Source organism: Homo sapiens, chromosome 5, assembly GCF_000001405.40.
Source record: "Homo sapiens chromosome 5, GRCh38.p14 Primary Assembly".
Classification (NCBI taxonomy): Eukaryota; Metazoa; Chordata; class Mammalia; order Primates; family Hominidae; genus Homo; species Homo sapiens.
In genome coordinates this window covers 154,772,367-154,796,445 of record NC_000005.10, presented here as the reverse complement: position 1 = coordinate 154,796,445, position 24,079 = coordinate 154,772,367, and the positions used below count along the sequence as shown (strand labels likewise).

The 24,079-nt window shown below is 46.8% G+C and overlaps 1 protein-coding gene across 19 annotated transcripts in view, besides 6 other annotated features; it reads right to left on the bottom strand.

Moving 5' to 3' along the window:
* The window catches only part of LARP1 (La ribonucleoprotein 1, translational regulator), a 134,627-nt gene that overhangs the window by 21,160 nt on the left and 89,388 nt on the right, over positions 1 to 24,079 (bottom strand). For 8 of the 19 annotated variants that reach the window (XM_047417041.1, NM_001367714.1, NM_001367713.1 and 5 more), the window contains 7 exons: positions 6,060 to 6,121; positions 5,736 to 5,801; positions 3,650 to 3,824; positions 2,723 to 2,851; positions 2,446 to 2,646; positions 2,184 to 2,346; positions 1,127 to 1,271 (listed from right to left, as the gene is read on the bottom strand). In XM_047417041.1, the coding sequence (XP_047272997.1) occupies positions 1,127 to 1,271; positions 2,184 to 2,346; positions 2,446 to 2,646; positions 2,723 to 2,851; positions 3,650 to 3,824; positions 5,736 to 5,801; positions 6,060 to 6,121 (941 nt within the window). Of the gene's footprint in view, positions 1 to 1,126; positions 1,272 to 2,183; positions 2,347 to 2,445; positions 2,647 to 2,722; positions 2,852 to 3,649; positions 3,825 to 5,735; positions 5,802 to 6,059; positions 6,122 to 13,614; positions 23,442 to 24,079 lie in introns of those variants that run through there. The other 11 variants (NM_001367716.1, XM_047417042.1, XM_047417043.1 and 8 more) reach the window with 4 other exon arrangements.
* Positions 11,687 to 11,746: an enhancer, noted in NCBI's record as "active region_23487". NCBI's record gives its function as "activates an Ori minimal core promoter by ATAC-STARR-seq in GM12878 lymphoblastoid cells {active_cell/tissue: GM12878}" and the evidence as "EXISTENCE:reporter gene assay evidence [ECO:0000049][PMID:35858748]".
* Positions 11,957 to 12,176: an enhancer, noted in NCBI's record as "active region_23486". NCBI's record gives its function as "activates an Ori minimal core promoter by ATAC-STARR-seq in GM12878 lymphoblastoid cells {active_cell/tissue: GM12878}" and the evidence as "EXISTENCE:reporter gene assay evidence [ECO:0000049][PMID:35858748]".
* Positions 12,197 to 12,456: an enhancer, noted in NCBI's record as "active region_23485". NCBI's record gives its function as "activates an Ori minimal core promoter by ATAC-STARR-seq in GM12878 lymphoblastoid cells {active_cell/tissue: GM12878}" and the evidence as "EXISTENCE:reporter gene assay evidence [ECO:0000049][PMID:35858748]".
* Positions 13,835 to 14,461: an enhancer, noted in NCBI's record as "H3K4me1 hESC enhancer chr5:154161545-154162171 (GRCh37/hg19 assembly coordinates)". NCBI's record gives its function as "activates a minimal SCP1, AML or CMV promoter by ChIP-STARR-seq in naive H9 embryonic stem cells {active_cell/tissue: H9 hESC(naive)}" and the evidence as "EXISTENCE:reporter gene assay evidence [ECO:0000049][PMID:30033119]".
* Positions 14,058 to 14,157: an enhancer, noted in NCBI's record as "active region_23484". NCBI's record gives its function as "activates an Ori minimal core promoter by ATAC-STARR-seq in GM12878 lymphoblastoid cells {active_cell/tissue: GM12878}" and the evidence as "EXISTENCE:reporter gene assay evidence [ECO:0000049][PMID:35858748]".
* Positions 20,253 to 20,831: an enhancer, noted in NCBI's record as "OCT4-NANOG-H3K27ac hESC enhancer chr5:154155175-154155753 (GRCh37/hg19 assembly coordinates)". NCBI's record gives its function as "activates a minimal SCP1, AML or CMV promoter by ChIP-STARR-seq in naive H9 embryonic stem cells {active_cell/tissue: H9 hESC(naive)}" and the evidence as "EXISTENCE:reporter gene assay evidence [ECO:0000049][PMID:30033119]".

The following is a 24,079-nucleotide window of genomic DNA, read 5'->3' as shown; positions in this document are numbered from 1 at the left end:
TTAGTCTATTCAAATAATAAACGGCAAAGAAAAAGAAAAATAGAGGCAAGAGGAGACTTAATAAGACAATACACAGGTCTTGTTAGTTTTTTGTAGAGACAGGGTCCTGCTATGTTACCCAGGCTAATCTTGAACTCCTGGGCTCACATGACCCTCCCCTTGGCCTCCCAAAGTGCAGGGATTATAGGTGTGAGCCACTGCACCCAGCCTATAGGTATTATTTGGATTCTGATTCTCACAAACTATATATATATATAAAATATATATATAATATATAAATACATAAAATATATATATAATATATAAATATATAAAATATATATAATATATATACTATATATAAATATATAAAATATATATATAATATATATACTATATATAAATATATAATATATAAATATATAATATATATAAAAATATATATAATATATAAATATATAATATATATAAAAATATATAATATATAAATATATAATATGTATAAAAATATATATAATATATAAATATATAATATATAAATATAAATATATAATAAATATATAATATATAAATATATATAAATGTATATTTTATATATAAATGTATATAAAATATATATAAATATATATAAAATATATATATAAATATATATATGGCGCCAATTGGGATGAATCTGAACTAAATATTTGATGATATTAAGGAACTGTTAATATGTTAAACTGTTAATTTAGGTATGATAATGATACTGTGGCTATTTTCTTTTAACAAGTCTATCTTTTAGAAATCTATACTGAAATATTTGTGAACAAAATGCTAGGTTTTCTAGGATTTTCTTCAATGTAGTATGTGAGAATAAACAGATGAGGGTACAGATGGAATAAGATTAGCCATAAACTGATACCTGCCGAAGCTGATGATGGGCTCATTATACTACTCTACTTTTGTTAAGTGTCTGACATTTTCCATAATGAGCAAGAGAGGGAGAGAAAGGAAGGAAGGAGGGAGAGGAGGAGACTAGCCAAGCCTTGAGACTTCAGCAGAAGTCATCAGATGATGACTCTTCCAGGGCTTTCTGCCTTGGCCCAAACTCCAGCTCCCTAAGGACCTTTCTTTCCCCTGCATCCCAGCTCCAGGGAGGAAGACATACCGCAAAGATGAGTGAAATGTCAGTGGTAAGGGCCTGCACTCGGTGGAAGGAAGCAATAAGGGTGATGGGTAGGAAACCATCAGCATCCATTTTCCTTCGCAGGAAGAAGTCTCGCTCTAAATTGTCCACGCTGAAGTAGTATTCACTAAGTGGAGGGAAGAAGTAGTTATCACCGAGGGATTGGTGCATCAGTTTTATGAGTATGCCTTCCTTGTTCTGCTACACACCCCAGCAATCTCACACAGCCTCTGACCTACCCCATCCTTATCCTATATACCAACAGTGTTGAGGGCTGAAAAGAAATGATGTGATCCCTTCATGACACCCTACCTTGCTTGGGTCAAATCACTCCCTCTGCCCTAAGCCCCTCGACATGCCTGTCAAACTCCTCATCCTCCTTTAAATTCCAGTCCAAATATTGTTGGTCACTTTCTCTTCTGCTCCTAAAACACTTATAAACACTCTATTGCAACCATTTATTTTCTTGTATGACTTCCTTACTGGACTGAGAGACAATATATCAGAGTGGTTAAGAACAAAGGTTCTATAATAGGACAGAAAAGGATTTAAATCTGTGCTTTGTTACTTACTAGCTGTGAGATTCTGTGCAAATTACTGGGCCGGTTTGCTTGTCTATAAACTGGGGCTAAAAGACTCAGCTCATAGGAATTCAACAGATAAGAACTGCAGGACTAAGATAATGCCTCTACAACAATAAACACTGAGCCTGGCCGATACTAAGGATTCAATAAATGTTAGTATTCTGTCAATGTTGTCATTACAAATGGAAGAACAGAAGGGGGTAGATTCTAAATATTTTCCTTCCTTTTTGTAATGGTATAGTTTCTAACTTTCTTAAGGTAAATGTTGTACCACTTCTGTAATAAACAATGAGAATGTGGTATCACTTCTTTAATAAACAATGAGAAAAGCTATCTTTTCAGCCTGAGGCTGAAACTGCTGCTAAGCACCAGAAGGGCCTGCCCAGCTATGACACTCTAGCAACCCCTAACCTCTCACTCATTTCTCCAGGGTAAGAAGGCTTCCGCACACTCACATCTGGCGCTTGATGTAGTCTTTGAGCAGTTCCTGATCCACACTGTAAAGCTCGGTGCTGCTGACATTGTCAAAGTAGTAGGTGATGTTGTTCATGTACTTGGGCGTACGAGGCCCCTCCACACCATCAAACTTTCGGTAGCCAAACTGGTAGTCAAAATGGGCTATGGGGGAAACGGGTGCCATGAGGGAGAGGAGATTCCTGCCCACCACCCCTGCTGCACACCCTTGGACATCCCGGAGCCCAAAGGGGCCTCACGTACTTCGAGTGCCACCCCGGCCGCGTCCCCGGCCGCGACCACGCCCCCGTCCACGGCCACGGAAGGAAGCCCGCGCCCCACCAGCCCCATCACTCTTCACACTCGATGTCTCATCCTGGTCGTGCCAGGCAGGCTCCGGTTTGATCTCTGGTTGCCAGGCTGGGGTGGGGGGGGCCACGGGCACGTAGGTGGCAGACTCAGACCCTATGGGGAGAGGGGTACCAGGTCAGGCCTGAGGGTGTCTCCCAAGTCCAGGCCCTCCATAGTGGGTAGTGCATACCTTTGATCTCTCCGCGATTGGCAGGTATGTGTCTAGGCTCCGGTGGGCGAGTGGGGCGTGAAGCCAGTTTCTCTCTGGGCACTTCAGGCTTCATGTCTATTTGTAATGGAACCCACTTGTGTTTGTTTCCTGGGAGACAGCATGGGTACATGAGAAAGGCTTGAGGGAGAGGCCACTCCTAGCCAGCTCTACCCAACTCCTCTTCTTCTGCCCTGGACTTGGGCCCAAATCACAATCTGGTTACCTTGGGCAGATCCCTTTCCCACACATTAGCCCTCTTTTTCATCTCTAAAATAAGCTGGTCAGTGGCCGTCAGTGTGTTAGAGACTCCTCGTTAACTCCCAAGATCAGTGTCTCCATGGCCACAGAATCCCCTTCTGGAGTCAGACACATGGCAGCCCAGGATGAAGACCATGCTTTCCAGAGTCCCTATAGACAGGTGCCAAAACACTGCCTACGAGAGCTAAGCTGAAGTAACCAACTCCAGGTTGAGTCCCTAAAAGGAAAGGGGCCACCCTTCCCTCTTCCTTTCCTCCTAGCTAGAAGAAGAAGGAAATAGGAAGCCATCAGTGATGATATGAAGAACCGGTGTACCACAGCAAGCTGAAGGGATTCAGGAGTTGCCATACCAGGCCTGGTGTATTTACACCAAGCTGTTACATCAAAGAAAGAAAGTTTTATCTTGTTTAAACCATGGTTACTCTAGATCAGCATTAGAGAAGCCAAAATTTCAGCAGGTTTTTTGAAAGGAGGGACTGATTAATGACAGATGGTTGAAGACTGCTATCTCACCAGCCTACATCCATCAGTTTCCCCATTGACTTTTCAGAGGTGGCACCTAAAGCTCCTCCAGCAGTCCCCTGGAGTCCTGACATTTCACAGTTCTACCCTGCCACCTTCTCCCAAGTCCTGCTCCCAGTCACTCACCTTTCTTCTTCTGCCCGCCTCGCTGGCAATCCTCATCTCCATTCTTTTCCTCCCCTGATTCATCTGATTTGGTTTTTGGACTCTCCTTACTATCACTCCCTTCTCCTTTCTCCTGTTCCTTCATGTCCTTCTTGGGTGGCAGTTTACGGGTAGGCTGAGGCTTGTGGGACTGTGGCTATAGCAGGAAGTAAAGTAACAGTGAGGTGAGTGTGAGTGCCTCATGGTATAGGAGGGAAGGCACTCCCTGTCACTAGAAGGGCAGGCAGGAGCCACAGCATGCAATGGCAGGCTGGATGGGATGTATTCTAAGGTCATTTTCACACCTGAGATGGTTTCAGTGGGAAGCATGGTCAAATAGGCCAGAAGGTGGGAAGGCAACTTATCTCTCCAGCTTCCAAGTCTAAGTGACAGAGACAACCTTCAGGACAGCGGTGCTGAGGCTCACAGGGGCAAAATTATTCCCTGCAACAGGGCCATGTTGTCTAGGTAGTCTGTGGGAAGGAAGAGATGCCCCCTGGCCTATCAACAACAACTCTGTCTGTGAAGTAAAAGCGGCCACAGCCAGTGAGTAAAGACTCTAAGCCACTGGCCAGAACAAAAGTGCTGGGAAGAAGAGAACTGACTAGGAGTCCTCTCTTTGCTAGGCCCCAAGAGAATTTTATAAGCTTCCCCAAGACATGTGGTCTGGAGGTCGGTGCTTGGCCTAATGACCACTCTCCTACTTCACTCAGAAAACCCAAGCGTAGTGATGGAGAACACAGGCTGGGGAATAATACAACACACCTGACTTCCAATCCCCACTTGGCCATCAAGGGCTAGTAATTAACCTCTGCAAGTCTCAGCAGCTTCATCTGTAAAATGGGGATTATAAAAGGACCTATCTCAGAGTCACTGTGAGGGTTAGATGAGATGATGAACAGGCAATTCAGCTGACCCTTGAATAAAATGGCTTTGAACTGTGTGGGTCCACTTATACACAGGACTTTAAAAAACCGAATGCAGAACAAAAATACAGTATTAGCAGGATGTGAAACCTGCATACACGGAAGGCCAACTTTTCATATATGTAGGTCCTGCAGGGCCAACTACAGGACTTGAGTATGCAAAGATTCTGGTATGCACAGAGGTCCCAGAACCAACACCTGCCACCAGCCCCGCCATGTATAACACAGGAAAACTGTACTTGGCAGTCTCTAACAAAGCAAAGGTTTAAATGATGACAGTTCTTAGCTATTTCAATGTTGCTCAGATTCTATTAACCACTAAGTTTAGAAAACAGAGGCTAGGGGGCTGGGGACAGTGGCTCACACCTATAATCCCAGCACTTTGGGAGGCCGAGGCGGGCAGATCACCTGAGGTCAGTTCAAGCCCAGCCTGGCCAACATGGTAAAACCTCGTCTCTAAAATATACAAAAATTAGCCAGGCATGATGGTGGGTGCCTGTAATCCCAGCTACTCAGGAGGCTGAGGCGGGAGAATCACTTGAACCTGGGAGGTGGAGGTTGCAGTAAGCTGAGATTACACCATTGCACTCCAGCCTGGGTGACAGAGTGAGAATTGCTTGAACCTGGGAGGCGGAGGTTGCAGTGAGCCGAGATCACACCATTGCACTCCAGCCTGGGTGACTGAGCGAGACTCCATCTCAAAAAAAAAAAAAAAAAACAACAAAAAACACTGAGAGGCCGGGCACGGTGGCTCATGCCTGTAATCCCAGCACTTTGGGAGGCTGAGGCAGGCAGATCACTTGAGGTCAGGAGTTCGAGACCAGCCTGGCCAACATGGTGAAACCTTGTCTCTACTAAAAATACACAATTAGCCGGTCATGGTGGTGAGCGCCTGTAATCACAGCTACTCGGGAGGCTGGGGGAGGAGAATCACTTGAACCCAGGAGGTGGAGGTTGCAGTGAGCTGAGATTGTACCATGGCACTCCAACCTGGGCAAAAAGAGTGAAACTCTGTTGGGGGGAAAAAAAAGAAAGAATGAAAACTGAGAAAGGTAAGAGCTGAGGCTCTCTGGAAGCTTGAGGAGCTAAATGTGTGTATGTCAAGAGACTTCAAACCTGCCTATTCTTCCACACAGACTCACCTGAACACTCTTGTGGGCTATCTCTCCAGGTGTGGGCCAATTGATTGCATCTCCAAAGTCACCAACCTGCAGGGAACATACACTATGAGGGCCCCAGGAGTGACCCTGTCTTTGCTATTCAGCCCCCGACCCAAGCTTCACCAAGAGATCAGAGGCCAAATCAGTCTGTTCACCAGGACCATTCACACTGGATACCTAGAAGGGGCTCCCCTGCAATTCACAGACAATCCAGAACTAGTTGGCAGTCCAGGAGCATTCACTAAAACAGGAAAGAGGCCACCAACTCCAGAAAGTCCCCTTGGGTTGCCCACTGTTATTCTTTACCTTGCTGCCTTTGCGCTGTTTAGGAACAGCTGCCCTCACCACCTTGGCTGGAGCAGAGTGTTCTGTGGGAACAAGAAGGGAGAGTTAGTAATGCAAAGCCCATGTGAGGGGGCTACTGCCAGCTCCTCACCCTCATCACCGTCCCCACTCCACCTAGCAACCTGCAAGTTCCCAAAGGAGAAAGACACAGTAGAGAGGGGAAAGACACGTGCTCAAACACCAATAACAATTTTACCAGCCCACTCCTGAAGAAGTCACAGAAAGCGCGATCATGCAAAGAGCCAGGAGCCAGCAGCCAGCAGCCAAAACCCAAGAAGTCCAGACTCAGGTGGGAGGCCCTCAGAGAGTACAGTTCCGTAACAGAGACTGAGGCCTGGAGAAAGAAGTCCATGCCACCAGAGTCAGGACTATAGCTCAGGGCTCCTGAATCATGGCAGATGTCTGATAGATCATTTCTGGCCCTAACATTCTAGAAGTTTGATGTGAGCAGACCAGGACTAGTGATCATTGGGAAGGCAAAGTAAAAACTCTAAGTGAGCCATCAAAAAATCTAGGGACCACACCAGGGCCAGCTGCTCAGGAAACATTTTTGTCTGCCTTCTCAGCTTCCAAAGAAAAAGTGGGCTCCCACTTGACTCAACAGTCCTACCTCTAAGAATTTATCCTAATGATACAAATTAGACAAGAGTTATGTACAGAGATGTCCTACTAAAATATTATTTATAACTTCAAAAAATGGAAAACAAACTATATACCCCAAAATAGGGGACTGACTAAAGTTCATCCATTTTTAGAAAAGTTATGAAAAAGATAATGATCTCTACTAATATAAAATGACGGACACAATAAATGAAAACTTTGTTTGTGGCCAGGCGCAGTGGCTCACGCCTGTAATCCCAGCACTTTGGGGGGCCAAGGCAGGTGGATCACCCGAGGTCAGGAGTTTGAGACCAGCCTGGCCAACATGGCGAAACCCTGTCTCTATTAAAAATACAACAAATTAGCTGGGCGTGGTGGTGGGCGCCCGTAATCCCAGCTACTTGGGAGGCTGAGGCAGGAGAATCACTTGAACCCGGGAGGCGGGGGTTGCAGTGAGCCGAGATAACGTCATTGCACTCCAGCCTGGGCGACGGAGCAAGACTGTCTCAAAAAAAAAAAAAAAAAAAAGTTTGTTTTGAGACAGAGTCTCGCTCTGTCACCCAGGCTGGAGTGCAGTGGCGCCATCTCGGCTCACTGCAACACCTGCCTCCCGGGTTCAAGTGATTCTCCTGCCTCAGCCTCCCAAGTAGCTGGGACTGCAAGTGCGCGCCACCATGCCCAGCTCATTTTTGTATTTTTAGTAGAGATGGGTTTCACCATGTTGGCCAGGCTGGTGTCAAATGCCTGACCTCAAGTAACCTACCTGCCTCAGCCTCCCAAAGTGCTGGGATTACAGGCGTCAGCCACTACGCCTGGCTAAAGTTTTTTAAAAATCCTTCTTGTAAAACAAAAATGTGCACATGCACACACATACAGTACAAACTCTAGAACGACATGTAAGAACTATCAGAAATTAAACATAACATTTACAGGGACTTCAGTTTTTCAACAAAGACAGACATGGGCTTTTATCAAAAACAAATGTCTTAATTTTTTTTTTTTTTAAGGAAGTTGTTCTAGTAGGTCCAGTCCCTTCTACATCCACACTTCTTTTCCCAACACCATTCTGAAAAACAAGAATTTCTGTGCCCCTTCCTCCCCCAGAAACCCACAGGAAAAGATACATCCTGTGGCTCTGCTCACCGACTTCTCCCCTATCACTTTGCCTGTACTGTTGGCCAGCCATGCCAGGGCGAGAGCTGCCCCCAAACCCCGAGCAGCAGAGAAATTTGCCCGGCTGGCTTGGAAAGGAATGTTCTAACTCCTTGATCAGACCCATGTTCCCTTAATGAGTAGAGAGTGTCCTTGCCTGACTCCTCACTGTGAGGCCACTGCTCTCCTGGCTTCCACCCCCTACCGGAGCCACTACCCCCTCAAGATACCCCACATGCCTTTGAGAGCTGGAGCTGTGGAACCCAGCCAACAGCATCCCACACCCCCAGTGCAGGGCAATGGTGAACCAGAAAATCTCAATCCCAAGAGGATAGAGTTCTTAGGCCCAAGGGGCCATTCTGCACCCATACTCCTGGGACTCCTGGGTTAGCCTGGATGAGCCTAATACCATCTAGTCCCCTGACAAAATCTTCTTCTGTGTCAAACCAGGACCAGGTTCATATATACCTACACTATGGCTGGTAATCACTTCTCCCAGTACCCAGCAACACTGTGTGCAAGCTACCAGGAGAGCAGGCCAAAGGGCCTGTGTACCACCAACGCCAACTTCACTAACAGGATGTTATAAAGAGAAATCAGGTAGAGGGCAAGGTATTCCTGAAGACTTTTCCTTAAAAAGGTGAGGCAAAGTCAGATCATTGTTTGATCACAAAAGGAGATGGTAAAGTATTGAAAGCTCAGTCTCCAATCAAAGTGCCATGAAAAGACCTCACTGATTCCCTAGTCTGCCACCAATCCCAAGCTGATGAGAATACAAACAGTCTGAGCATACACATGAATATTCTTAAATTAGTCCTGTGTGAGTTTGTTGAAAAAGGTCCATCCCCAGGTTCCTCTGTCCTGAAAACCCACGGTGCCCTGCTCTTTCTCTGCTCCCAGGTAGGGCTTCAGGTTGCCCCTGACAAGGAGAAAAAAACCCCCAGAAAGGCAGAAAAAGCCAATGGGGAGCAAGAGCCACTTCTGCCTTTAAAATCTAAAATTCATAGATTTGTTAAAATACTACTGGGCTTCAAGGAAACCCAGAATGGCTCAGATGAGCTGCTGTCAGGCCCTGCAAGAGACCAGAAAGACGACTAGGCTTTCTGATGAATTCAATTATCCATCTCAGCCACCAACCCTCACCAGGTAACCACTGGAGCACGTGTGCACACGTGCACACAGGTACACACAAGCACACACAGAATATACAGGTTCAGCTGGGCCTGGCATCTGTAATGGCCGCCAATGCAAACCAATCCTTTGCACAGGCACCAATCCCCATGTCCAGCACCATCCCAGCCAAATCAGGGGATAATTCTCCTCCTTCTACCCCTGCATTCTGAAACCTGCATGCCTGCTGCCACTGACCCAACGCCCAGTCAGGAAACACCATTCACTTGGTCAAGAAAACAGTTATAGCCAGACACGGTGGCTCACGCCTGTAATCCCAGCACTTTGGGAGGCCGAGGTGGGTGGATCACCTGAGGTTCGGAGTTTGAGACCAGCCTGAGCAACATGGAGAAACCCCATCTCTACTAAAATTACAAAATTAGCTAGGTGTGGTGGCACATGCCTGTAATTCCAGCTACTTGGGAGGCTGAGGTGGGAGAATCACTTGAACCCAGGAGGCAGGAGGTTGTGGTGAGCAGAGATTGCACCATTGTGCTCCAGCCTGGGCAACAAGAGCAAAATTCCATCCCAAAAAAAAAAAAAAGAAAACAATCATAGAATGAAGGGACCATAGTTCTAATCCACTCAACTTGTAGACAGGGAACTGAGGCCAGAAAAAGGGAAGGGGCTTCCTCAAGACTAGCTGCAGAGCCAGGATGAAAGCTGTAGGTCTTGACTCCCTTGCCAGAGCTCCTCAACAGCTCACCAGAAATTCCATGGAGCCCAATGGTTTCCATGTGTCTACTGGCGAGGAATGGGTCAAAAGCCTTCTTAGTGTAATCTTAGAGCACTTCCCTTGTTTTTCTGAGTAAACAGTTACTGATGACTGGGCCCAGCAGCTTATCTGTCCACAGGTCTCCGAGGCCCAGACTGTAGCAGGGTGGATGGCAGACAGAGTCCCTAGGAGGGTCTTCTTCCTCAACTAAGGCAAACCAGCCCTAAAGGGTATCTGGAAGAGAAGGAAAACCACCTTCTGTCCCAGAGGACCATAGCCAGGAGCCAGTACTAATTCTGGTAATTCTAGTTCCAGGGGGTCCGGGGGCTTCTTAAATACACACAAGCCTTTGTTAAAAATGAAGCATACCAGCCGGGTGCAGTGGCTCATGCCTGTAATCCCAGCATTTTGGGAGGCCGAGGCGGGCAGATTACCTGAGGTCAGGAGTTAGAGACCAGCCTGGCCAACATGGTGAAACTCTGTCTATACTAAAAATACAAAAAATTAGCCGGGTGTGGTGGGCGCCTGTATTCCCAGCTACTCAGGAGGCTGAGGCAGGACAGTCGCTTGAACCCGGGAGGCGGAGGTTGCAGTGAGCTGAGATCGCGCCACTGCACTCCAGCTTGGGTGACAAGAGTGAAACTCCATCTCAAAAAAAAAAGTGAAGCATACCAAAATTGCTATGTGCAAGAAGCAATCTGAATATGGTGGTGTTGAGAACACTAGAGGACTTTTCTGGCAACTATCTGCATGGCAAACCCACTATTTTCACTTGGATTACTTAAGGTTATTTTGAGTGTCAAGGAGCAGGGAGCTGATGCTACTACTGCTAATGAAGGATGAAGAGAAATGAGGGGTAGAAGGTGGGTGCTGAGGAATGGCAGGGCAGAGAGGAATTACTAACTGGGATGGTTGGAATAGGGATGGCGGCTCCTCTGTAAAGTGGAGTGGTTAATGACCACACGACCTCGAATGTCTAACCCCGAGATTCTTTAAGCCTCTATTTTCAAGTGTGTCTAACACCCCCTCATTCAAAGACCACCTAGGAAAGTCAGAGGGCCCCATTAAGCACATGGACTTTGCTATGGGATGGACTTAGGGTGGAGTCCCTACCTACTCTGCTCCTCACAGGGTCCCTCTGAACTTCACCTTCCTCTGTAAAATTGAAGTCATAGTTACATGGCTGCTGGAACAGTTAAACAAACAGAGCATACTAAGAGTACCTAGCACACAATAAATGCCCAACAAATGCTAATATTACAATTCACAAAGGAAGCTTACTATTTCCAAGCAATCGCCACCCTCACTCTGAGATAGAGATGGGGATGGGGGGAGATACACCAAATCATCTCTCAAAATGAAAGAATCAGAATGTACGGGAAAAACTCTTGGGGTGATTAATTGGTTCAATTCATACAGTCCAGACTGCAAATGAGGCCACCCACCTCACCTGGCTCTTCTGAGCGGTAATCCATGCCCACTGGATGGGGATACCACACCACCACATTGCCCTTCAGAGACAGGAGGCACCTGGGCCCCAGGGCAAGTTTCCCCAGGAAAGAGGAAGGCTTCCAAACTTTGTAGTTTAAAATGAGGAAAGACAGATGGGGGAATTTATCACAGGTCCCCCAGGGGTGCTTTGACATAAAGCCCTGCTTTGTTAGGGAGGAAGGAAGAACATGGCGAAGGCTGACAAGAGTTCCCTTTCAGTTGAAATTCAGTCATTCCACTTTTTACTCAGAACAGAAAAGGAAAACAGGCCAGGCTCAAGGAGTCTCTCTCAGCCTACTAAACCCATAACCCTGGCCAGTACACAGCCAGATAAAAAGATTTAAAAGTGTTTTCACTATTGTCTTCTTCTCAAAAGATCCTAAGGCTGCCGACCTTTGAAACAAAAACTACCCAGAGGTTCCAGATGTGAAGGTCTGAGGAGCAAGAACTTGGTTCAACCAACAGGTAGAAAGCACATGGGTGATTCAAACTCATCAGGTCACAGTAAAAAGATCTGGTAAGAGGCAGAGAGAAGCTAGAATTAAAACTGAGGGACCTGTGCATGAAAGGTGAGAAAAGGCTGAGCTATTCAAAGAAAGCCTTCAGGACCCAGAGTGGGTGACTAGAAGGACTACCAGATTTCAGGCCTGAACACTGCCAGGAAAATTAGGAAGACCAAATGCTTATTTGGGGACTGGTATCATCTCCTGGAGATTGGCATCTGAAAAGGCTGTTTACCAGAGAGCTAAGAACTACTACCTTGAGAACAAGGTAATCTGTTGGGTTTAGGGGCTGTATTACATTCACACTCACCCATCTGCTACCATACACTTGGCCGTTAGGTCGACCTCCTTCGGGTAGACCTCCCAGACCTCAAGTGTGGTGAAGCACCCTGCTATGTGCTCCCACGGTATTGTAAATGTTAAATGGGCTGGTTACTTATCTGCCCCTCCCCTGGGGGCAGGGACCACAGGGCTGCTTTCACAGCAGTACCCCAGTGTCTAGCTCAGGGCCTGGCAACACAGCAGACACTTGTTTAATGAATAGCGACTTCACACCAGAAGAGGCTTTGCTTGTCAAGTGCTAATTCCTGAGGTTATAGCCTCAACCCTTAGCCTTCAGCTGGGGCCCTCCCAAATACAGAGAAATTGCTAGTGTCCTAGAAACTGCTGGCTCCCAGAGGAACGCAGGCCCTAGCCCAGCTTTGACTCACAGGCAACCCAACTGCCTGATATCAGTGCTGCGCCTCAGTCCAGAATGCAACACTCACCAGTTGTATAACCCTTGGGAGCATTACCTACCATTCTACCCCAGCGTCACCCTCCTTACTAATATTGGGTCTACAGGTGTGAGAACAGAAAGACAGATCTCAACCACTGAGATTTCTCACCAAAGCACAAGAAATGCTAGCAGCAAATCGCAGATGCACGAATTACACGTGTAAATAATATGTAGTGAGCATTTACTAGATACCACACACTGTTCTAAACTCTGGGCATGGATTCTCTTAATCTTGATCGTGTTGAATTAGTTTCTTTCATTGGTCCCATTTTAAAACGAGGAACCCAAGACACATGGTGGAAAGGTTATTTGCCAAGATAACAGCCAGCAAAGAGAGGAACAGGATTTGGAGCCAAGCAGTCTGACTCTAAAACCTGTGCTCTTAACCACTAAAAGGAGGTGGAAGAGAAGCTAAGGGGTATAAGTTACAACCTTATTGTAGCCAACAGGACAGTTTCTCAATAGCAGGGATGCCTGGGCATCATTCTACATACTGGGGAAAACCAAAGCCTGTTGCAGGGAAGCCTAAGCTAACAGCTGGACAAGTGGCACCTCGGTGGTTGGAAGTGCCTAGTTTCCCTACCCAGAGAGGCAAGGGAAACTACCACCAAGCACACCCAGTTTGAGTCTAACTCCAGCACTCTGGCACTGGCAGCACTATGAAGAAAGAGACATTCCTTCCAGACCCACCTCCCAGTTCCTCTCAGTTCTCCCAGAGGCTGCTCAGGGGGATCCAGCTGACATGGATTGTGCCCCACCCTCAGCCCCCAGATATAAGGAAGGCCACCACTATCTCCCTAAGCCTGTGTCCAGGGACCCTGACTGTGGAAGGCAGCAATACCATCTGAAGGGAGGGTGAGGCAGGCAGGAAAGAGTGCCTGGGTTATACTACCCACCTGTGCCTGTCCCTCCCAGGCCAGCCTGGGGACAGATTAACTGAAAAGCCTGGCTACTTTCAGCTGTCATTCATCCTGGGGATGGGGTGGAGTCATAGAGGGGAGCCTGGAGACCCACAGGCCTTTCCTCCCATACTGACTGACCCCAGGACCCCCTAAGCAGGAACATTCTTCTATGGAGTAAAGAGAATGCCATGTTAGCCCTCCTCACCTTGGTCACCAGCTGCTGCTGTCGGTACCATCTCTCAGAGGCCTCTCTGCCCAGTCCTCCCACCCAAATTTCCCTAGACCTGCGGATGAAATGCAGGAGGGGCTGGAAGGGCATTCTTAGGGAGAGGAGTGGGCAGAGAAAGGGAAGGAGAGAAATGTTCAGGTCAGATCATCTTGAGTTCCCACTGAAAGGAAGCTGCAGACCACCAGTCAGCTCAGGAATGCAGAGTCTGCATCCCCTTGGCCCGGGAGGAGGAGCAAGGGTGGGCCAGGCTCCAGTCACATGATGCTGGCCAGCCTGGCCCAGCCCAGGCCCAGCCCCAGCTGACTATCTTTAGCCTGTGGTGACCCAGGTGGCCCAGTGCTCCCACTCTCCCCGCCCAGATGTGGACCCAGCCACCCTCGGGTGGCTGTGGCCACTCCCACTGCTGGTACCAGTCCCTGAAATCTTGCTTCAAAGCTGATCAATAATCAACACAGCTGAAATATATCAGCGGCCACTAAAGCTCCTGGCCTCCAAGTGCCAGCTCCCTAACCCAGCCTTTTCTAAAGAGCACATTTGGTTCTAGTTAGAACAGTAATAATAATCACCTTTTACTGCATAAAGACTAGGTACCAAAAACTGACCTAAGTTGCTGTGTATGATTTTACTTAATTATCTCAAAAAGACACAATTATTCCAGTTGTCCAGAAAATGAAACTGAAGGAAGGGACTCGCCCAAGGTCACAATGTTGAAGAGCAAGATGACTGACTCCTCAGATCTAGTCATAGATCTCAATATAAATTCTCCTCAGGAGGCTTCCTGACTGCCCAATGTAAAGTGCCACAAAACCAGCAACTCTGGATCAAGTTCTAACTCAGTCTACAATTTAAGATCTTCAGGGTACTCACTACCGCCTGAAATGGTTGCATCTGTGTGTATCTCAACTCCACTAGACTGCAATCAATTACTGAGAGCTTACTACAGAGGTGTCCAATCTTTTGCCTTCCCTGAGCCACAATGGAAGAATTAATGTCTTGGGCCACACGTAAAACACACTAACACTAATGATAGCTGATGAACCTAAAAAACAAAAATTGCAAGAAAATCTCAATGTTTTAAGAAAGTACAAATTTGTGTCAGGACGCATTCAAAGCCGTCCTTTGGACAAGCTTGCCTTACAATGTCTTTGCATGATGCCAAAGTTTTTTACATGTAGTAGCTCATTTATTTTTCCGTTTTTTTTTTCCTTTTTTTTGAGACGGAGTCTCACTCTTGTCACCCAGGCTGGAGTGCAATGGCGCCATCTCGGCTCACTGCAAGCTCCGCCTCCCAGGATCACGCCATTCTCCTGCCTCAGCCTCCCGAGTAGCTGGGATTACAGGTGTGTGTCACCATGCCCAGCTAATTTTTTTGTATTTTTAGTAGAGACAGGGTTTCACCATATTAGCCAGGATGGTCTCGATCTCCTGACTCGTGATCCGCCCGCCTCGGCCTCCCAAAGTGCTGGGATTACAGGCGTGAGCCCAGAAGGTAGGTATGATGATGATTCCCAGTTAAACAAATGAGCTATGCACAATCAGCTTGCGGGGCTCCCTTGGGCTTTCCTAGGCCCTGGACTTCAGAAGCCAATCGTCTCAGACAGGTTGCTAGGCACACACAACTACACGCACACCTGACTCCATTACCCTGATGTGGGAGGCTGCCAAGCTCAGAGGTTTTCTTCCTGTCCTTGGTGGTCAGCCACCACCTCAGGTAACACAAACTCATTTTTTTATTTTTTGAGACGGAGTCTCACTCTGTCACCTAGGCTGGAGTGCAGTGGGTGTGGCACAATCTAGGCTCACTGCCACCTCCACCTCCCAAGTTCAAGCAATTCTCCTGCCTCAGCCTCCCGAGTAGCTGGGACTACAGGCGCGAGCCACCAAGCCTGTCTAATTTTTTGTATTTTCAGTAGAGATGGGGTTTCACCATGTTGGCCAGGCTGGTCTTGAACTCCTGACCTCAAGTGATCCACCCGCCTCAGCCTCCCAAGGTACTGGGATTACAGGTATGGGCCACCGTGGCCGGCCCACAAACTCATTTTTATTGTCCTTCCAATCTTAGGGCATCCTTTGTTGGAAGAGGCTTCTGAATCCCCAAAAAATTACTTTGGATTATTCCCATTATTGGAGTGGAGAGGGTGATCCCAGACCAAGTCAGGGCTGGAAAGACTTGAGAATCTCATTGTACATACAGAAAAACTGAGGACCAGGAGAGGCCAAAGTCACCAGTGATTTGCTGTAGAGCTGGCACTGGAACATCAAGTTCTTGTCTCCCAATCTAGAGCTCTTTGGCAAACCAGGAAGCCAATATCTGCTCCTCAACAAAATACACTCTGTGCCCAACTATATCCACTCACAGGGTCAGGGCAGGGCCTTAGGGACCCAAAGTGTCACAGGAACTGTTCCCCAAAATTACCGATACTGTCAAGAAAAACTACTCACATGGAACTGAAACACATGACCACAGGGGAGGGTGCTTTGAAGTGGCTCTGAGAGGGGCCCCATTTCCAATCCCTTTTTTCCTCTTTGAGCCCTGCCAGGGAAGGCTGAATGTCTCAGCTCCCTCTGGAAGACTTAGTGGGCCCTGGAGATCTTTTTCTCACTGTCTGTCTGTCCTGAGAGGCAGGCTGGGCACATTTGGTAGCCTGAAAATTCCACAGCAGTGGGAGGGACTTTCCAGGGAGGGTCATCCCAAAAGCAGATAGGAAGCTGGAGTTCTCGAGTAGCAACTAGTTCCCCCAATCCAGGCCAGCCTGGCCAGGCAGCCTTGCTTCCCAGGAGCTGCTAATTTGCCTCTCTCGGTGAGTTCAGGATGGCCTACAGGCTCCTTCAGTGTCATATGCTACAACCCAACTGGGAAAGAGTTAAGCCCTGGGATGCTATGAACATGGAGACAGGACAGGCTCAGCAGCCAGGGTGCTGCCCCACCTGCAGACTCCCCACCCCTGCACACGGATGCTCTCAAGGCACCAGCACACCCCTTTAGAGAATGTAGAGGGGGGCTGGGCACAGTGGCTCATGCCTGTAATCTCAGCACTTTGGGAGGCCGAGGCAGGCGGATCACCTGAGGTCAGGAGTCCGAGACCAGACTGACCAACATGGAGAAACCCCGTCTCTACTAAAAATACAAAATTAGCCAGGTGTGGTGGCGCATGCCTGTAATCCCAGTTACTCGGGAGGCTTAGGCAGGAGAATCGCTTGAATCCGGGAGGTGGAGGTTGCGGTGAGCCGAGATTGCGCCACTGCACTCCAGTCTGGGCAACAACAGCAAAACTCTATCTCAAAAAAAAAAAAAAAAAAAAGAGAGAATGTAGAGGGGGTCCGACCCCTACCCCAAAGCCACCCTACCAACAATTTACTATGCCACGGAGTTAAGAGACAGGTTAGAGCAGCAGTTAACAGCGTGGACTTTGGAGTCCATTCTTGGATGTACTAACCAAGAGCCATCATCAATTAAGTAACTCACAAGGCCAGGGGCAGATGAGTCAAAACTGAGCAATCTCTCATGTAGCTTGTAACTTGATAGGCATTAACTGGGCCACACATCAATGAGAGCCAAGCAACTAGGTTCATGAGGAGGCAAAATGACAGCTTACCGAGATGATCCCAGGAGTCAGACTTAACCTCTCACTTTCCTGAACTATTAATGGGGTCCATGACAGCTAGCTCACAGGATTAACAGATTAAATGAAGTAATAGTACCATAAATGCATGGTAATTATTTTTCATTTCTTTGGGGCAATTCTTGAACCTGACTGGTGCCCAAAAAAAGGTGGGGTAAGCGGGGAGAGAATATGGTTGCCAGATTTAGCAAATAGCAATTCAGGACACTCTGTTAAATCTAAATTTCAGATAAACAGTAATTTTATAGACTAAATATGTCCCATGCAATACTGGGACATACTTATACTAAATATTTGATTTATCTAAAATTCAAATTTAACTGGGTGTCCCCTGTATTTTTAGTTTGTTAGAACTGGACACCATAGTTAGGAAAGACTATTGCCCCATGTTCCAAACTGAAAGTGGAAGAGTGACCAGAGCCCTGGGCTAGAAGTCAAGAGACTGGTTGACAGTCCTGGCGCAGACACCAGAGCTCTTGCTATGGATGCTTGGCAAGAACTACCCTCCAGTGTCTTCAGTCTCTCTATTCAGAGGCCTGTGGTAGGGGTGGGCAGAATCCTATCATCCACAGTCCTTCCAGTTCTAACATCTTGTGATTTTGTCCTTATACCCATTGATCTCCATAAATGCAGCCGGCTTTCCAGGATAAGCTATTAAGATTTTTGGCATGCATTCGAATTATCATGTGAGGAGCTTGTCAAAACGTAGATTCCTGGGTCCCATCCTTCAGAGATTTTTTGCTCAGCAATGGTGGAGTCAGGAATCTGCTAGGTAATTCTAAGGTAGGTTTTCTCTGTACATACTTAACAGTTATTTTGATGTAACCTAATGAGTTTCAACTGTTAAACTGACAGGGGTACCCAAAACCACAATACCATATTTAATATTTTTAAATCAGAGCTGCACTTTTTTTTTTTTTTTTTTTAGACGGAGTCTCGCTCTGTGGCCCAGGCTAGAGTGCAGCAGCGCGATCTCGGCTCACTGCAAGCTCTAACTCCTGGGTTCACGCCATTCTCCTGCCTCAGCCTCCCGAGTAGCTGGGACTACAGGCGCCCACCACCACGCCCAGCTAATTTTTGTATTTTTAATAGAGACGGGGTTTCACCGTGTTAGCCAGGATGGTCTCGATCTCCTGAACTTGTGATCCGCCTGCCTCGGCCTCCCAAAGTGCTGGGATTACAGGCGTGAGTCACCGCACCCATCCTGCACTTCTTAAACCAGCAGTAAGTATAGTCATGAGCCAAATAATGACATCTCCATCCACAAATATGACAGTTGGTCCCGTAAGATTATAATAGAGCTGCCCTATACCAGTGTGCCACTTTATTATATATATTTTTTTAATTTTTAATTTGTGTAGGTACATAGTAGGTTTACATATTTATGGGGTAGTTGAGATACTTTGATACGGTATAATAATCACATCAGGGTAAATGGGGTATCCATCATCTCCAGCATTTATCCTTTCTTTGTGTTACAAACAATTCAGTTACACTTTGTTATTTTTAAATGTACAATAAATTATTGCTGACTATAGTCAGTGTGCCATTTTAAAAAATCTTTAAAAATATTTTAAGGCTAGTAAAGTGAAGCAGGGGGTATGAAGAAGGAACACTTTTTATTCCATATTTTATACCATATTTTTACAGTACTTTTTCTTTTTGATACAGAGTCTCGCTCTGTCACCCAGGCTGGAGTGCAGTGGCGTGATCTCTGCTCACTGCAACCTCTGTCTCCTGGATTCAGTTGATTCTCCCACCTCAGCCTCCCCAGTAGCTGGGATTACAGGTGTCCGTCACCATGCCCAGCTAATTTTTGCATTTTTTTTTTTTTTTAGCAGAGATGGGGTTTCACCACGTTGGCCAGGCTGCTCTTGAACTCCTGACCTCAGGCGATCTACCCGCCTCAACCTCCCAAAGTGCTGGGAAGTGCTGGGATTACAGGCATGAGCCACCGCGGCCGACCTACAATACTTTTTCTATGTTTAGATACACAAATACTTACCATTGTATTACAACTCCTACAGTATTCAGTATAGGAACATGCTACACAGGTTTGTAGCCCAGGAGCAACAGGCTATACTATACAACCTAAGTCCATAGTACGTTGTGCCATTTGTTTGTGTACGTACACTCTAGGTTCATACGATGACAAAATCAACTAATGACACATTTCTCGGAATGTATCCCTGTTAAGTGACACGAGACTGTACTTGGGTTGTTTTGATATTTATTTTAGATTTATATTCCTTAGTATGTATTAAACACTTAAATTACTTGAAAAGAAAAATAGCAGAGCTGTTCCAAAAGAAATGTTACTAAACTGAGTGACTCCCATTCAGCAGGAGTTCCTGAGCAGAAGGTAGTTTGAAAAACACTCACTTCACATTTGTAGAAACTGTAGATCAGTGAGCTAGCAGGCTTGCAATACCACTTCTGTGGTCTACAGAGCATCTGGGAAGAGGGGCTGGCTTGGGAGAAATGCAGATTCTTGACTCCCTCTATAAACTCCAGAAATTAATTTAAGAAGGTGGGCATAAATTGAACACCTGCAGTTGTATGCTTCCTGTGCAATTGCTCATGGCAGATTAATGTTTAAGAACTGAGCTGCCAATGAGTGAGACTGCCAGGAAGGAACCCAGGTCTCCAAACCCCAGTGCAGGGTCTCACTTGTATAGACAGGACTTAATTGGTTTACAAGAGCAGGTAGTTTCAATTACACACACAAACAGCAGCCAGAAGAGAGGTGCAGGAGGTACTCTCCCTTTACCCACCAGTCTAATCTCCAGCACCAGGAACCAACAGTGATCCAAGAAGCCACATGATGAGTGTCCTGACAGATATGAGGTCACAAGGGATCAGTCTGGGCTGGGGTTTAAGTTTTGTAACAAGCTCCAAAACTTGGCTTTGCCAGAAGAATGAAGGTTCTGAAGGGAATTGTCCACCTGCTTTTGCCTCACAGCCGAACAGCTTCTCTTACCCTAAAAATCTTACTGTTTGCTCACCCAATGCTCTGTCTCTATACAAAATAAAATAAAATAGATACTGGGTCTTGCTATGCCGCCTAGGCTGGTCTTGAATTCCTGGGCTCAAGGGATACTCTCACCTTAACCTCCCAAAGTGCTGGGGTTACAGGAGTTAAGCCACCAAGCCCGGCCATATTTACTTTAAAATACTAATAATAGTAATAATGGCCACCACTTACTAGGCATTTACCTCAGGAAGCCAGGCCTCCTGCCGTGCCCCTTTTGTGCATTTAAGTTTTTTAGTCCTCACAATGGAGGGACTATTATCCCAGTTTTAGAAGACTCAAGGCAGCTAAGTGGTTAGCCGAAGGTTATCCAGTGAGAAGGTATCTGACTCCAAGGATATGAAATCCCAGGCTACCCCAAACCCCTCTCAGCACTGCAGGAAACAAACATTAGGTTCTTGTCCCCAAAAGGCTCCAGATCAAGCCTGTAGGCCCTACAGGGGACTGAGGCCACCAGAATCCACTCCTCTTGAGCCCGTTAGTTCACCTGCCAGGTGGGGATAATGCAACTCAGAAAAGGGAATGATGTGAGTAAAAACAGTCAAGAATCAAAAACACTGTTTATTGCAAAGGCAATGCTCTAGAACCATCTGCAACCTGAAGGCCTGGGCTCCAGCAAGCACCAAAGCCGCAGGGGAGTCGCCTTTTTTTTTTTTTTTTGAGGGAGGGTCTCACTTTGTTACCCAGACTGGAATGCAGTGGCATGATCACAGTTCACTGCAGCTTCGACCTCCCCGGGTTCAGGTGATCCTCCCACCTTAGTCCCCTGAGTAGCTGGGACTATAGGTGCTTGCCACCACACCCAACTAATTTTTGTATTTGAAGTTCTTGTTTTTATTCACTTACGTTTTTTAGATACGAGGTCTCACTCTGTTACCCAGGCTGGAGTGCAGTGGCACAATCCTAGCTCACCGCAGCCTCAAGCTCCTGAACTCACACGATCTTCCTGGATCAGCCACCCAAGTAGCTGTGACTAAATTAGCTGGGACACCCAGCTAATTTTAATTTTTGTAGAGACAGTCTTGCCATCTTGTCCAAGCTAGACTGAAACTCCTAGGCTCAAGTGATCCTCTTGCCCTGGCTTCCCAAAGCGCTGGGATTACAGGTGTGAGCCACTATATCCAGCCCTAGTCCTCTTCTGATCTCCCCCTGGCAGCACCGACCATTCAAAGGGCCTCCTGTTTTTCTTTTTTTCCCTGAAATTACTGAGTTTCAACTGTTTCTTTCCTCAAGGAAACAAAGCCTACAAATCCTAATGCAGGCACTGTGATCCCCCCTGGTGCCACCTGAGAGACTTTGGTCAAAATACAGACTTGGTTTTCTGTAAAAGAAGTGACCAGACGGCTTCTTAGTGACCAAAGCCCTTTTAGATTCTGACCTGCTTCAAGTCTAGGATCTCCAAAGAGCTGGCACCTCAGAGGGGCAATGGCAGTGATGATATGTGGGCAGAAAAGGCCTGGGGCAGGGACAGCAGAGAACATCCCAGAGCAACTACAAGCCCAGCAACAGCCAATAGGGACCTTTACTGCCTCTCCAATCCCACCTCAGAGGAAATGCAAGAGATTAAGTCTTCCCAAAGGTAGTACCAACCCGTTATATCCAAGGGTTTGAGTAATAAGACTAGACCCCAGGAGAAATGAAAAGATGGTGCCTTAGACTCCTCAGCTCTGGCAAATGCCATCTTGAGCAATATCCTACCTCGAGGGAATTTGGCTCCCAGAGTGCAAACCAAGGCACCCCCTCACTCCCTGGAGCAGACCCTCCCCAGCCTGGAGACTTGGCACAGGGCTGCTGGGTGCCATAGCTGCTACTCCCTGCAGTGCAAACAAGCATGGGGCAGGGATGCAGTGATGCAGAGAAAGGCTGGCTTCCCTGGATCCATCCAGTATTTAAACTCCATCCAGTCTTTAAACCCCCAATCATCAGTACTCTGGTCCCTTTCATCTGAGGGCTAACCCAAGTCAGCTGCTCATCCTCAGCCCTCCTCCAAAGGGACGGAGGAGGCCAGCAGCAAGCCAATGGCATATCTAAGAAGCAGCCCAATTTTACAGGCTGAAAAACTGAGGCACCGGTTTAGGTGTGGAGAAACAAAAAAAAAAAAAAATGAAGCCAGGCTTCTACAAATCTCAAACCTGCATGACGTTCTTGTCACAAAGTGGCCTAGTGTGAGGCACTTGTGCCCACACTAGGGGTGCAGGATTGTTGGACAAACCAATTATTTAGAGATTTCTATGTCCCAACCTGACTCAGGCCAACCCATGTCCCCTTCTGCAACTACTCTGGCCCAACTGGTCTTTTTCCCACTGCCTATCCACATTTGTTCTCCCCAAGAGACAGGCCAGTGCTGGCCTGCTTCCATCAGCGGGGTAGGCTGTAGACTTGAGGGTACTCCCAGACAAACCAAGTGGAAGGCCTTTGCCCACCCTCCATTAGTTTCCTCTTTGTACTTCAAGTAGTTCCAAAACCAGGCAGGAAGCTCTCAGAATCTGGCAGATGAGTGGAAAGAACACTGGACTGGGAGTTCAGGGTGCTTGTGTTTTAAATATCCTATCCCTGCGTGGCAGCTCGGTTAAGTATCTTCCCCTATCTGTGCCTGCTTCCCCCAGCACAGTGCTGTGGGGGAACATGCACTTACACATGTGTGCATGTGATTTGTGGCCCAGGCTCAGAGGCCTCAACCCCAGCGTGCCTGCAGAGGGCAGGGAAAGAGTGGAGGGCTCACAGGTAGCAGCTGGGTATGTGCCTTCACAGCCACAGTTCCTTAACCTTTCTCTCAACAGCAAACTGTTACCTTCCTTCCTAAGGTGGCTTTGAGGGTTACAAAAAGATTAAGTCCCCTTGAAAGCCTATGTTTCTAAATGGAAAAAATATATAGCTTACAATACAGTGGATCCCTGCCCCCCTAGCCATAGTTTGTAACCCATGGTCAACTGAGACCCCAAAATACGTGAGTACAGTATAAGATATTCTGAGGTGACAGAAGCCCCCATTCGTACGTTTTCTTAATGAAATCAGCAATAAGCCCTTCCAGTACAAAAACTGGGCGGACTAAACTTCCAGTCATGGAGCCTTCCTTGTTCTTTATCGCAACTCTTCCCTCTTCCCAGTTGTCCCAACAGTAACTCAAAGGATAGAACAGCAAGGTCTTTTAAAAAAAAAAAAAAAAAAAAAAAGGCCAGGTGCGGTGGCTCATGCCTGTAATCCCAGCACTTTGGGAGGCAGGTGGATCACCTGAGGTCAGGAGTTCGAGACCAGACTGACCGACACGGAAAAACCCCGTCTCTACTAAAAATACAAAATTAGCAGGGTGTGGCAGCACATGCCTATAATCCCAGCTACTCCAGAGGCTGAGGCAGGAGAATTGTTTGAACCTGGGAGGCGGAGGTTGTGGTGAGCTGAGATCATGCCATTGCACTCCAGCCCGGGCAACAAGAGCAAAACTCCATCTCAAAAAACAAAACAAAACAAAAGATATTTTGAGAAGGAGACCACATTCACATAACTTTTATTACAATATATTGTTATAATTGTTGTATTTTGTTGTTGTTAATCTCTTACTGCGCCTAATTTACAAATTAACCTTTATCACAGTTACATATGTATAGGAAAAAACATATAGAGGGTTTAGTACTAGCTGAAGTTTCAAGCATCTACTGGAGGGTCTTGAAATGTATCCCCCATAGACAACGGGAAGGCTACTATACTATGACCCCATTTTGTCTTTTTATTAAAAAGGTGTATATATATGTATACTCTTACACACACTTGAAATACGCTATCCAATGCC